This window comes from Homo sapiens, chromosome 8 (assembly GCF_000001405.40).
Source record: "Homo sapiens chromosome 8, GRCh38.p14 Primary Assembly".
Taxonomy (NCBI): Eukaryota; Metazoa; Chordata; class Mammalia; order Primates; family Hominidae; genus Homo; species Homo sapiens.
The window spans coordinates 116893006-116905004 of record NC_000008.11 but is presented as its reverse complement, the minus strand read 5'-3'; the positions used below and the strand labels follow the sequence as shown (position 1 = coordinate 116905004).

Sequence of the window (11999 nt, the reverse complement as noted above, 5' to 3'; positions counted from 1 at the left end):
AAGGAAGAGGAGAAATAGACTCTACCTCTTGACAGAGAAATGGCATGTTTTAGGGTAGAAGGAATTGGTGGTGACCATTCTTGCATTCAGTCTACTATAGCTCCTCACTGCCTCTCTGGCCCCAACAATCCCTTCCCTTCTGACCTCTGGATAGCATGTATTTATACGTCCAGATTTGAAAGTACTACACTTTTCAGTCACATTACAGAACCACATTAATAGTGATAGCTAAGGCTGGGCGCAGTGGCTGACACCTGTAATTCCAGCACTTTGAGAGGCCGAGGTGGGCAGATCAGGAAGTCAGGAGTTAGAGACAAGCCTGGCCAACATAGTGAAACCTCATCTCGACTAAAAATACAAAAATTAGCTGGGTGTGCTGGCACGCACCTGTAGTCCCAGCTACTCAGGAGGCTGAAGCAGGAGAATTGCTTGAATCTGGGAGGCAGAGGTTGCAGTGAGCCGAGACCGCACTATTGCACTCCAGCCTGGGTGACAGGGCAAGACTCCGTCTCAAAAAAAAAAAAAAAATAGTGATAGCTAACATTAACAGAGCAACAACTCTGTACCAGGCACTGTCCTCAGTTCTTTACATGAGATAATTCATTTAATTCTTTAAACAATCTTACAATATTTTTATTATGGTATTTTTTAGAGACAATAAAAATGAAGTACACAGAAGTTAACTAACCTTCCACACAACTAGAATCAGTGGTACTGCCAGGATTGAAACCCAGGCAACATTGCTTCAAAGTCATCTGTCCTAACCACTACACGGTATTATAAAGATAGTGCCTTTTCATCCATTCATTCCACATCTATTGAGTACCTGCAACTGTTCTAGAACATGGGGGATGTAGCAGCAAGTATAAAATAAAAGATCTCCATCATGATAGAGATAATTTGCTGGTATGTGCACAGGGGTAAGGGGAGATCAGACAATAAACATATAAATAAGAGAATGCATAGTCTATCTGATGGTAATAAGTCTATCCTAATTTCCTTGAGCACAGTAAGGAGAGTAAGGAGTGTCTAGGGTAAAAATGGTAGTTACTGTATTCGAAAGAGTGGTTAGGAAAGGCTGATTTGATAAGGTAACATTTGAGCAAGATCTGAAGAGAGTGAGTTAGTAAGCCTTGTAGATATTGGGAGGAAAAGCCTCCTGAGTAGATTGGGACAGCAAGTGCATGGACAATGAGTGTTATGTTCTAGGAACAATGGAATAGGAGCACGGAGGCCAAGTTAGCTCGCATGGAATGAATCCAAGAAGACATTTCTGTTGCTCTAGATCATTGTCATGCTGGACAAGTTTAAAGAACTTCATTACTAATCTACGTTGGATTCCATTGTGGGTCTTATCCTTCCACACTTGCTCTCCTATAGCAATTCCTTTTTCAAAACATTAATATCGTTATATTTCTGTAAAATTATTTACAAAGTGTAAACAACCCAGATCATAGCCACAAATAGAAATAAAAGCTACAAAGTAACTTATCCACCCCACCCCTATGATGTTTCAGAGCCAATGAGAATTGAAAGGTGAGGCTGAGCTCTTCCATTCTCTGAATGAAGATAACCAGGCTTCTTGACTTGAAGAATTCCCCAAACTGACTTTGCCTCTTTTTACATCTCAGAGTGGTAGGAAATCCTAATAATCATGTATCATTTCCTTTCTAAATATTTTTCAACTCTGTACTTTCCTGTTTCTCCTCCTTCCTCTCTGATTTCTTCTTCATCTTCTCTTTGTTGTCAGGTGTTCTAATAGGTAGTGTCCACTGAGGCTCTCATTTTGGCAAGCAGCTCTTCTCTTGATTTACCCATTTAGCCATTTCATCCACTCCCGTGACAGATGATTTCCAAACTTACATCTTTACCTGTGTCCTCTCACAGGGATTCTGATCTCATATTTCCTATTACATAGAGGATATCTTTTTTGGTTGTTTTGTTGCCAGATTCAAATATGACATTGAAGGCCCCCTTTTAGCTCTAAAATGCAAAAAGAAAATTCCTATTACCAATAAATTTTGACCACTTTTCCAAGCAGCCATGCCATCAATGGAACCACTGTTCCAGGAGCTGAGACAATATCTTGGATTGACTTTTACTTATACTTCCCCACCCTCATTTGAATCAAGTCCATTAAAATGATTCTAACACTTTCATGCCTTCACTGGCTGAGTCCTATAAATGAAATAATATATACATACCAGTTAACAGAGTAACTGACACATAGTAAGTACTCGAGAAAAAAAAATAGTTGCTTGCTCTCAACACCAAAATGATTTTAATTCCTAACTGAATAGCTCTGCTTATGCTGTTCACCACATCCGGAATCCCTCATTCATTTTTTTCTTCCACCCACTGAAAACTAGTCCATTCATCAAGAATCAACTTTAATTCTACTTCCTCCTCTACTTCCTCTACTTCATACTCTTTTCTGCATTCTTTGAAAAAGAACATGGTTTTTAGTACTATAGGTTTTGTTATCTAGTAGCACAGAAAAGAGCTACTGTATAGTAAGCAATTAGAAAATAAGCCATGAAGCACTTTAAGAACAGACTCAGTTCTAAATCCTCTCTTTTATTTCCAAAATATTGATGGTTTCTGTGAGACCTCAGTTCTTGTCTCCTTAGTTTAAAAGAATTTAAATAAGAGCACCTGGCAAAGAAGGTGCAGCATACAGTGATTTATTGCAAAAGAAAAAGAATATTTTGAAAGGTAGGTACAGAATAGACAGGACACCCTGAGAGAGAGAGGATTCAGGGTGGGCTGCCCATAAGGATGAGCCAGCAAAGACTGGCACTAGGGAGACTCCCTTTATGGGAGTTTTACATAATAATTCATAAGAAGGTGGGAAGAGGCGTTACTAGTAGGTATGTTCTGGGTGGTCCTCTGGGTGCACATGCACAGTAGCTGCACATGCTTGTTCATGCATCGTGTGTCTCATTAGCATCTGAAATCTCCACCCAGGAGTGTATTTTTCACTATTGAAATGAGCAAAGCGCCAATTTGAGGACTGGTAAAATCCAAGTGCACATGCTCTCTAGAAGGAAAAGTCCCCACCGCAGATAGCTTTGCTTGAATGAGCTCAATTATACTGCGAACGCTGAGGCCTGTGTTGGTTGTATGGCCACCACGATCACTGCGTCCTGGCAACATGGTCACTTCCTTGACTACCTATCCTGCCTCAAATGCACATAACCCATTGATAGACCCATAGCAATGCAATAAACACCTGTCGACTAACTTTCAGATTATGATCTGATTATAAAAATAAGAGTTACAGTCTCTGTCCTCGTGCATCTTACAATCTAGCAAAGAAAATATATATTAAACTAATAATTATTACAAACAGTTGTTCTCTATGTTTCTGTGCAGTGAGATGTCTCCTTCACATTTCAAGATTAGATCAATTTTTTTCTTTTTTCTTTCTTTCTTGCTTTCTTTCGTTCTTTCATTCTTTCTTTTTTCAGGGTCTCTACCTCTATACAGCATGCAGAGCTGTTGCCAAGTCTAGCCTCAAACTACTGGGCTCAAGCAATGCTGAGTAGCTGGAACTACAGACATGCACCACCACACCCAGCTAATTTTTAAAATTGTTTCACTCTTCTGACTCCAACTTAGTGGTTCTCAGCCCTGAATAATTTTGCCCCCAGGAGATATTTAGCAATGTCTAGAGACATTTTTGGTTATTACATCAGGGCAGGGCAGGGGTGGAGGGCTGAGGGGAGATGTTACTGGCATCTAGCACGTAAATACCAGGATTACTGCTAATAAACATCCTAGGCGGAAGATAGCATCCCACAACAGAAAATTGTCCACCCCTAATGACAATGCAAAGGTTAAGAAATCCTTTTTTAAGACTGCTCTCTTAGACACGTCTTTGGCATAGTTTTCTCCTCAACCCACCACCATGTATTCCTTCTAATCCCTAGGCTAGTATATGCTTATAATTACAAAGTAATAATTTTTGCAATTTTGTGGGGTTTTTATTGAGATAAAATATACATATAAAATTTACCATTCTTACCATTTTTAAGTGTACAATTAAGTGATAATGGCTCCATTTATATTCTTTTTTTCCCTTCAAACCCTTCTCCCTCCCACTCTTCCTGGCCTTTGGTAACCAACAATCTTCTATCTTCATGAGATCCACTCTTTTAGTTCTCACATATGAGTGAGAACATGTGATATTTGTCCTTCTGTGCTTGGCTTATTTCACTTAACATAATAGCCTCTAGTTCCAACCATGTTGCAAATGGCAGGATTTCATTGTTTGTTATGGCTGAATAATTATGTGTATATTCTACATTTTCTTTATTCATTCATCCATCCATTGGCACTTAGGTTGATTCCATATTTTGGCTATTGTGAATAGTGCTGCAATTAATGTGGGAATGCAGATATCTCTTTGATATATTGATCTCCTTTTTCTTGTATATATACTCAGTATTAGAATTGCTGGTAGTTCTGTTTTTAGTTTTTGCGGAAGCTCCATACTGTTGTCTATATTGGCTGTACTAGTTTACATTCCCACCAAGAGTGTACAAGGGTTCCCCTTTCTCCACATCTTTACCAGCATTTGTTATTGCCTTTTTGATACAAACCATTTTAACTGGAATGAGATGATATTTCATTGTGATTTTGATTTGCATTTCTCTGATGATTAGTGATGATGTATTAATTCATTTTCACACTGCTGATAAAGACACACCCGAAACTGGAAACAAAAAGAGGTTTAATTAGACTTACAGTTCCACATGACTGGGGAGGCCTCAGAATCATGGCAGGAGGCAAAAGACACTTCTTACATGGTGGCAGCAAGAGAAAAATGAGGAAGAAAGAAAAGCAGAAACCCCTGATAAATCCATCAGATCTCGTGAGACTTATTGACTATCATGAGAATAGCATGGGAAAGACCAGCCCCCATGATTCAATTACCTCCCCCTGGGTCCCTCCCATAATGCGTGGAACTTCTGGGAGATACAATTCAAGTTGAGATTTTGGTGGGGACACAGCCAAACCATATCATTCCACCCCTGGCCTCTCCAAATCTCATGTCCTCACATTTCAAAACCAATCATGCCTTCTCAACAGTCCCCCAAAGTCTTAATTCATTTCAGCATTAACCCAAAAGTCCACAGTCCAAAGTCTCATCTGAGACAAGACAAGTCTCTTTCGCCTATGAGCCTATAAAATCAAAAGCAAGCTAGTTACTTCCTAGATACAATGGGGGTACAGGTATTGGTAAATATAGCCATACCAAATGGGAGAAATTGGCCAAAACAAGGGGTTCCAGGGCCCATGCGGGGAAGTCAAATCCAGCAGGCAGTCAAATTTTAAAGGTGCAAAATGATCTCCTTTGACTAGGTCTCACATCCTAGTCAAGCTGATGCAAGAAGTGGGTTCCCGTGGTCTTGGGCAGCTCCACCCCTGTGGCTTTGCAGGGTACAGCCTCCCTTCTGGCTGCTTTCATGGGATGGCGTCGAGTGTCTGTGGCTTTTCCAGGTGCATGGTGCATGCTGTCAGTGGATCTACCATTCTGGGACCTGGAGGATGGTGGCCCTCTTCCCACAGCTCCACTAGTCAGTGCCCCAGTAGGGACTCTGTGTGAGGACCCCAACCCCACATTTCCCTTCCACACTGACCTAGCAGAGGTTCTCCATGAGGGCCCTGCCCCTGCAGCAAACTTTTGCCTGGGCATCCAGACATTTCCATACATCTTCTGAAATCTAGGCAGAGGTTCCCAAACCTCAATTCTTGACTTCTCTGCACCCACAGGCTCAACATCATGTGGAGGCTGCCAAGGCTTGGGACTTCCACCCTCTGAACCCACAGCCCAAGCTGTACATTGGCCTCTTTCAGCCATGACTAGAGCAGCGGAGACACAGGGCACCAAGTCTCTAGGCTGCACACAGCTTGGCAGCCCTGGGCCCAGCCCACAAAAACACTTCTTTCTCCTAGGCTTCTGGGCCTGTGATGGGAGAGGCTGCCATGAAGGTCTGTGACATGACCTGGAGACGTTTTCCCCATGGTCTTGGGGATTAGCATTAGGCTCCTTGCTACTTATGCAAATTTCTGTAGCTGGCTTGAATTTCTCTCCAGAAAATGGGTTTTTCTTTTCTATCACATTGTCAGGCTGGAAATTTTCCAAACTTCTATGCTCTGTTTCCCTTTCAAAACTGAATGCTTTTAACAGCGCCCAAGTCACATCTTGAATGCTTTGCTGCTTAGACATTTTTTCCGCCAGATACCCTAAATCATCTTTCTCAAGTTCAAAGTTCCACAAATCTTTAGGGCAGGGGCAAAACCCTGCCAGTCTCTTTGCTAAAACATAACAGGAGTCACCTTGGCTCCAGTTCCCAACAAGTTCCTCATCTCCATCTGAGACAACCTCAGCCTGGACCTTATTTTTCGTGTCACTATCAGCATTTTCATCAAAACCATTCAGCAAGTCTCTAGGAAGTTCCAAACTTTCCCACATTTTCCTGTCTTTTTCTGAGCCCTCCAAACTGTTCCAACCTCTGCTTGTTACCCAGTTCCTAAGTCGCTTCCACATTTTTGGGTATCTTTTCAGCAACGCCCCACTCTACTGGTACCAATTTACCATATTAGTTCATTTTCATGCTGCTGATAAAGACATACCCAAAACTGGAAACAAAAAGAGGTTTAATTGGACTTACAGTTCCACATGGCTGGGAGGCCTCAGAATCATGGCAGGAGGCAAAAGGCACTTTTTACATAGTGGCAGCAAGAGAAAAATGAAGAAGCAAAAGTAGAAACCCCTGATAAACCCATTAGTTCTCACAAGACTTATTCACTATCATGAGAATAGCATGGGAAAGACCAGCCCCCATGATTCAATTACCTCCCCCTGGGTATTTTGGGTCTCTCCCACAACACGTAGGACTTCTGGGAGATACAATTCAAGTTGAGATTTTGGTGGGGACACAGCCAAACCATATCAAATGCTGAATATTTTTTCATGTAACTGTTGGCCATTTGTATGTCTTCTTTTGAGAAATGTTAATACCAATCTTTTGCCCATTTTTAATTAATTTTTTTGCTATTAAATAGTTTGAGCTTCTTATATGTTCTGGTTATTAATACCTTCTCAGATGGATAGTGTGCAAATATTTTCTCCCATTCTGTAAGTTGTCTCTTCACTTTGTTGATTGTTTCCTCTGCTGTGCAGAAGCCTTGTAGCTTGATGTAATCCCATTTGTCTATTTTTGCTTTGGTTACTTGTGCTTTTGAGATCTTACAGAGTAAACCTTTGCCCAGGCCAGTGTCCTGGAGATTTTCCCCCAATGTTTCTTTCTAGTAGTTTCATGGTTTTAGGTCTTAGATTTAAGTGTTTAATCCATATTGACTGAATTTTTGCATATAGTGAGAGATAGAGGTCTAGTTTAATTCTTCTGCATATGGATATCCAGTTTTCTAGCACTACTTACTGAAAAGACTGTCCCTTCTCCATTTTATTTCTTGGTGCCTTTATCAAAGATGAGTTGGCTGTAAATGTGTGTATCTATATCTGGATTCTCTATTCTGTTCCGTTGTTGTATGTATCTATTTTTATGTGAGTACCATGATGTTTTTGTTACTATAAATTTATAGTAAGCTTTGAAATCAGGTAGTGTGATACCTTCAGTTTTGTTCTTTTTGCTCAGTATTACCTTGGCTATTGAGGGTCTTTTGTGGTTCCAGATACATTATAGAATTTTTTTTTCTGTCTCTGTGAAGAATGTCATTGGTATTTTGATATGGATTGCATTGAATCTGTGCATTGCTTTGGGTATTATTGTCAATTTAACAATATTAATTATTATATTAATTTCATTTCTTTTCAGAATTTTATAGTTTTCCTTGTATTGACCTTGCACTTCTTTGGTTAGATTGATTCCTAGGTATTTGATATTTTTGTAGCTATTGTAAATGCAATTACCTTCCTAATATCTTTTTCAGATTGTTTACTATTTGTATATATAAATGCTGCTGATTTTTATATGTTAATTTTGTATCCTGCAAATTTACTGATTTTTTTTTTTTTTTTTTTTTGCCTAGTCATTCCAGTCAAGACTTCCAGTGTTATGTTGAAAAAAAGTGGTGAAAGTGGGCATCCTTGTGTTTGTTCCATTCCTTAGAGGAAAGGCCTTCAATGTTTCTCCATTCAGTACAATGTTAGCCATGGGTTTGTCATATATGGCCTTTATTATTTTAAGGTGTGTTCCTTTTATACCCATTCTGATGAGGATTTTCATCATAAAGAATGCTGAATTTTATCACATGCTTTTTTGGCATCTATTGAAATAACCATACGGTTTTTGTTCTTGATTCTGTGAATGTGATGTGTCACACTTATTAGTTTGCATATGTTGAGCCATCCTTGCATCCCTAGAATAATCCCACTTGATCAAGATGAATGATCTTTTTGATTGTTGTTGAAATTGTTTTGCTAGTATTTTGTTCAGGATTTTGTGCATTTATGTTCATCAGTGATATTGGCCTGTAATTTTATTTTTTTCTTCTTGTGTACTTGTCTGGTTTTGGTTTCAGCATAATGCTGGCCTCATAGAATGAGTCTGGAAGTGTTCCTTCCTCTTCAGTTTTTTTGAAGAGTTTGAGTAGAATTGGTGTTAGTTTATTATCTTTAAATGTTTGGCAAAATTCAGCAGTGAAGCCATCAGGTCTTGAAATTTTTATTGATGAGAGGTTTTTTATTATGCCTTTGATCTCATTACTCAATACTGGTTTGTTGAGGTTTTCTATTTCTTCGTAGTTCAATATTCATCAATTGTACATGTCCAGATATTTGTCCATTTCTTCTGGGTTTTCCAATTTGTTGGTATATAGTTGTTCATAATACTGTCCACAGATTCTTTGTATTTCTGAAGTCTCATTTATTATGTCTCCTTTTTCATTACTGAATTTATTTATTTAGGTCTTCTTTTTTTCTCAGTCTAGCTAAAGGTTAGTCAATTTCCTTTTCAAAAAACTAACTTCTTGTTTCATCTATCTTCTGTAAATTTTGTCTCAATTTTATTTATTTTGGCTCTGATCTTCATTATTTATTTCCTTCTACTGATTTTGGGCTTGGTTTCTTCTTGCTTTTCCAGTTTCTTCAGGTGCACTGTTAGGTTGTGTATTTGAAGACTTCCTACTTTTTGATAAATGTATTTATCGCCATAAACTTCTCCCTTAGGACTGTTTTTGATGTATCCCACAGATTTTGATATGTTGTATTTCCATTTTTATTGGCTTTGAGAAATTTAAAAAATTTCCTTCTTAATTTCCTCATTGACCCATTGGTTTTTCAGGAGCATGTTGTTTAATTTTCATGTGTTTTTGTATTTTCTGAGGTCCCTCTTGCTACTGATTTCTAGTTTTATTTCATTATGGTCAGAAAAAAACACTTGATACAATTTACATATTTTTTAATTTGTTCAGACTTGCGTTGTGTCCTAACATATGGTCTATCCTGGAGGATGTGCCATGTGCTGATGAGAAGAATGTGTATTCTGTAGCAGTTGGGTGAAATGTTCTATAAATTTCAGTCAGGCCTATTTGATCTGGTATATAGTTTAACCATGGTGCTTCTTTGTTGATTTTCTGTCTGGATGATCTGTCCATTACTGAGAGTGAGATGTTAAATATCCTATTATTATTATACAGCAGTGTATCTCTTCCTTTAGATCTATTAATATCTGCTTTATATACTTGGAAGCTCTGATGTTAGGTGCATAGATATTTATAATTTTTATATCCTCTTGCCAAATTGACTCCTTTATCATTATATAGTGAACTTCTTCGTGATTTTTTATAACCTTAGCTTTTTACTCTAGTTTATCTGTTATAAGTGTAGCTACTTTTGCTTTTTATTGGTTTCCAGTTGCATGGAATATTTTTTCCACCCCTTCACTTTCAGCTTATGTGTGCCTTTATAGGTGAAGTGAGTTTCTTGAAGGCAGCATATAGTTGGGTCTTGTTTCTTTATCAATTCAGTCACTTTATGACTTTTAATTGGAGAATTGAGACCATTTATAGTCAGTGTTATTGATAAGTAAGGACTTACTACTGCCATTTTATTGCCTATTTTCTGGTTGTTTTGAGACTACTGTCTTCCTTTCTCAGTCTTTTTTTTTTTCCATGTTTAAGTGATTTTCCCTGGTAGTATGTTTTAATTTCTTCATTTTTATTTTTGGTGAATCTATTATAGGTTTTTGCATGGTTACCATGAGGCTTACAAAAAAAAACCATAGATATCACAAGTTATTTTAAACAGATGACATTTACCTTAGATCACACAATAAAGACCAGAAATAAAGGCAAAAAACACACATACGAAAAAATCTACACTTTAACTCTATCACCCTCATATTTTGAGTTTTAGTTGTCTCAATTTACATTTTTTACATTCCATATCTTTTAATAAGTTGCTGTAGCTATTATTGTTTTTGACAGATTTGTCTTTTGGGCTTTATTATCAGAGTTGTGAGTAGATTGCACACCACCATTATAGGAATAGAGTATTCTTGGTTTGTCTACGTACTTAATTCTACCAGTGGGTTTTACACCTTGAAAAGTTTTCTTTTTGTGCATTATTTTTTTTTCTATTTCAGACTGAAGATCTCCCTTCAGCATTTCTTGTAAGACAGATCTGCTGGTGGTGAATTCTCTCAACTTTTGCTTGTCTGGGAAAGACTTTATCTCTCTTTCATAGTTGAAGAATAATTTGGCTGGGCACAATATTCTTGGATGGCAGATTTTCTTTTCTTTGAACACTTTGAAAATGTCATTCCATTCCCTCCTGGATACATCTATGCCTTTGTATTGAAGGATTAATTATTTTTTCAAATTTCCTCTGACAGGCTTGTTTTGTTTTTTTAGTGGATATATTTGCCTAGAAAATCTTTACCACTATGTTGCAGCCTTCTTTTTGGCCCTAGGTGTGTCTTAAGTCCAGGTTCACCTTGGCTTTGGTAAATGATCAGAGTGATGTCCGTTTTGAATGGGTGAGGTCCTAAAGGGACCTGGCACTGTTAGAAGGCTAGCTAGGAGTTTACACCCAAGGAAACTATGAAACGTACCTTCTATGGTGTGATGCTCCTGAACAACCATTCTGATTTGATGTCTTCTTTTGCCAAGTTGCAGAGCAGAGTTTCCAGGGCTGGGGGTGGTAGTTCCACTTCCCTCCTTTGTCTTCACCTGTCCTCTGTGAAGTTTCTCCCTTCAGGCAGCCACAGTGCTTCCCTTGGGTTAAGACAATAACAGGTCTCCTCCCAAGATATCCAAGATGGTAGAAAAGCTGGTTGGCCATCTCAATCTCACTCCTTCCCTTGTAGAAACCATGAGTTGGAGAAGATTTTCCAGGTGCTAGTTGCCAGGCAGAATGGGGGGATGGGGTGTCATGGATGTGAAAGTCTGATTCTCCCACCATCTGCTCAAAGTACTCTCATTTCTCTGTGTCCCCAGGATCTGTCTCATCCTCATATTTGATTCTGGGTTGTTGCTGTATATTTGTTTTTGGTTTTCTGGCAAGGAGGTGGGGTAGTAAGACCAGCTTGCTTCTATGCCACCATTTAAACTGAAAGTCTAAGATCACTTTGTCTCAGACAAATACTAATCTTCTTAAAATGGTGTATAATGTGTGAGAATGGAGTATTTTGTCAAAGGAAAACAAATGTAAATCTCTATCTCCTACAGAAATGAGTTTATTTTCTCACTTTTAGCCTTCCATTGAAAAAAAGCAGTGTGTCAAAGCCAGCCTACTTATTATTCCGCACCCTTAAAACATATTTCAGTGATGAATCTGACAAGCTATACTCAGATTTTTTTCAGCTATTATAACTGTGCTATTATAAAAATGAAGCCTGTAAGAATCTTTCAAAAGGTAGAAGTCAATCATGTAACTCATTAATTCTACATGAAAAAGTCACATCAAAGACAGACTTTTTTTTATGATTAAAAAAAGTCTTATAAAAAAAGGAAAAAAGGCCAGGCAT

At 38.3% G+C, this 11999-nt stretch overlaps 2 annotated features.

Moving 5' to 3' along the window:
- Positions 2999-3078: an enhancer, noted in NCBI's record as "active region_27834". NCBI's record gives its function as "activates an Ori minimal core promoter by ATAC-STARR-seq in GM12878 lymphoblastoid cells {active_cell/tissue: GM12878}" and the evidence as "EXISTENCE:reporter gene assay evidence [ECO:0000049][PMID:35858748]".
- Positions 3129-3218: an enhancer, noted in NCBI's record as "active region_27833". NCBI's record gives its function as "activates an Ori minimal core promoter by ATAC-STARR-seq in GM12878 lymphoblastoid cells {active_cell/tissue: GM12878}" and the evidence as "EXISTENCE:reporter gene assay evidence [ECO:0000049][PMID:35858748]".